The sequence below is a fragment of the Homo sapiens genome, chromosome 3, assembly GCF_000001405.40.
Source record: "Homo sapiens chromosome 3, GRCh38.p14 Primary Assembly".
Taxonomy (NCBI): Eukaryota; Metazoa; Chordata; class Mammalia; order Primates; family Hominidae; genus Homo; species Homo sapiens.
Genome location: NC_000003.12, coordinates 96,208,938 through 96,211,253, shown reverse-complemented (window position 1 = coordinate 96,211,253; position 2,316 = coordinate 96,208,938). Strand labels below are relative to the sequence as shown.

At 38.9% G+C, this 2,316-nt stretch overlaps 1 annotated feature.

Annotated features, from left to right (window-relative positions):
• Positions 726-1,925: an enhancer, noted in NCBI's record as "P300/CBP strongly-dependent group 1 enhancer chr3:95928173-95929372 (GRCh37/hg19 assembly coordinates)". NCBI's record gives its function as "activates an origin of replication core promoter dependent on BRD2, BRD4, P300/CBP, MED14 and CDK7 cofactors, with strong dependence on P300/CBP, by STARR-seq in HCT116 cells {active_cell/tissue: HCT116}" and the evidence as "EXISTENCE:reporter gene assay evidence [ECO:0000049][PMID:35650434]".

Below are 2,316 nucleotides of genomic sequence, written 5' to 3'. Positions count from 1 at the left end.
GTCATATTTATCCTCATATTTTTCCTTTTTCATTGTTCATTACTTCCTAGTCTTGAATTTCCTAGTCATTGCATTTCAGGTTAAGGATGATATGTTTTCCTAGTGCAGATCTAGTGATGATAAATTCTTTTAGTCTTTCTTTAACTAAAATTTTCTTTAGTGTGTTTTCATTTTTGATGAATACATCAAGTATGTATAAAATTATGAGATAGCAAATTTCTTCTGCTCCAGCTTTGAAATAAATTTATGAGAGGGGAAAAGAATCGTTCCAATAATTCCTTCTAGTAAAACTCAATAGGATTGATGCATTTAATTTCTATTAAATCACTTAATAAGTTTTTGTTTGTTTGTTTACATTCCCTGTCTACTCCCTTTGTATCCTCTTTTAAAGCCAATTTGATCAAGATTTAACCTCCATTAATTCGTTAAAAAAATTCTCCTTTCATTCACTAACGATGTCCACACTGTTAAAACCATTTGGAAAAATTATTACTCATCTTTCTTGACCTCTCAGTAGAATTTGAAACCATTGTCCTTTTCGTCCCTCAAAATATACCTTCATAGACTTCTGAAACACTGTGCTATGCTTGTTTCCTACCTCATTAGCTCCATTTTTTCTCTTTTTTTTTCTTTTTTTTTTTTTTTTGAGACAGAGTCTTGCTTTGTCACCCAGGCTGGAGTGCAGTGGCTCAGTCTCGGCTCACTGCAAGCTCCGCCTCCCAGGTCACGCCATTCTCTTGCCTCAGCCTCCCGAGTAGCTGGGACTAGAGGCACCCACCACCACGCCCGGCTAATTTTTTGTATTTTTAGTGGAGACGGGGTTTCACCGTGTTAGCCAGGATGGTCTCGATCTCCTGACCTCGTGATCCGCCCGCCTCGGCCTCCCAAAGTGCTGGGATTACGGGCGTGAGCCACTGCGCTCGGCCGATTTAATGCCTTTTTTTTTTTAATCTTCCTTGTCTTTCTCCTTGTGAATGGAAATATCTATAATTTGTGTCCTATGCCTGTCCCATCAGTGTACTTTGGGAGCAGATAATTTGTGAGCCACCGCGCCCAGCCCATTAGCTCCTACGTTTAACTCACTGTTGGTGATCTTCCACTTCCTCCTACTGTTACCTTTGCAAGGAGTGTTTTGTTGTTGTTGTTGTTGTTTTTGACTTGGCAGGTGACAGTCCAATGGCTACAACCAAGGAGTATTTAACAAAGAAAATTGATTACTTGGAACAAGTAAACAGGACAGCTGGAATAAATCCCCACATCAATGCCTCCCTGAACAGGTGAAAACTGGCCTTTCATTAGGTTTGTTAGCTGAGTCATTGTATCTAGAGGTGGGGTCAAAGCAGCACAGATGCCGTCATCAGTTGTTCCTCTATATAAGCCACAGGTGTGGATAATAGTGACTAAGCTCTTCCCTGGGTGGGGCTTTTAGTGTGGTAATGAGGAGAGCTTGCCAAAGTTCATCTTCAATTCAGGCATCTTTGGATCCAACTAGTTTTTATTTTATTTATTCAGGGCTGAGATTCTTCCTGTAACTTTTCTAAAACATCAAGAACTGGAGGTGCAACAGTTACAAGTGAGTACTTGCTCATTCTGTGTCCTAGAAAACCTCTGGACTGGGGGTTGCATTACTTTTAACTCTTGCAAAGTGTCCCACTTCATCCTCTTTCTAAGGTTGGAGTGACTAGGATCTAATGTTTGGTTCTCTTTTCTCTCTGTACTGACTGTACCCACTCTTTAGATTATCTAAACATGTATATATTTTTCTTATCACTCTTGTTCCCACAGTTTCTAGAATACGGCGCAAGGAGCAGAATATTTGCTTGTATTAGTTTTCTATTTATGTGTAAAAAATTACCAAAATATTTACTCACTTAAAATGACACCCATTTATTGTCTCACAGTTTTCAGAGGTTAGAAGCCCAGGCATGACTTTACTGGGTTCTCTCCTTAGGGTCTCGCAAAGCTGAAGTGAAGGGAAGAACAGAGATATATTCTCATCTAGAGGCTTAACTGGGAAATTATCCACTTCTGTTGGCAGAATTTATTTTCTAATGTTTGTAGAACTCAGAATGTCTTGTTCCTTCAACCTCAGTATAATTATGACTCCTTTTATGTGTTTTACTTATTCAGTTAAGCCCTCTAATAATGTCTTACTTTTACTTAATGAAGGTTCAATGGATTTGGAACCTTAATTGCGTTTGTGTAATCCCTTCTCTTTTCCCATATTCTGTTGGCTAGAATAGCCACATGTTCTGACACTCAAGGAGGAACATAACACCAAGGAACAGAAATTATAGGGCCATCTTAAATTCTGAC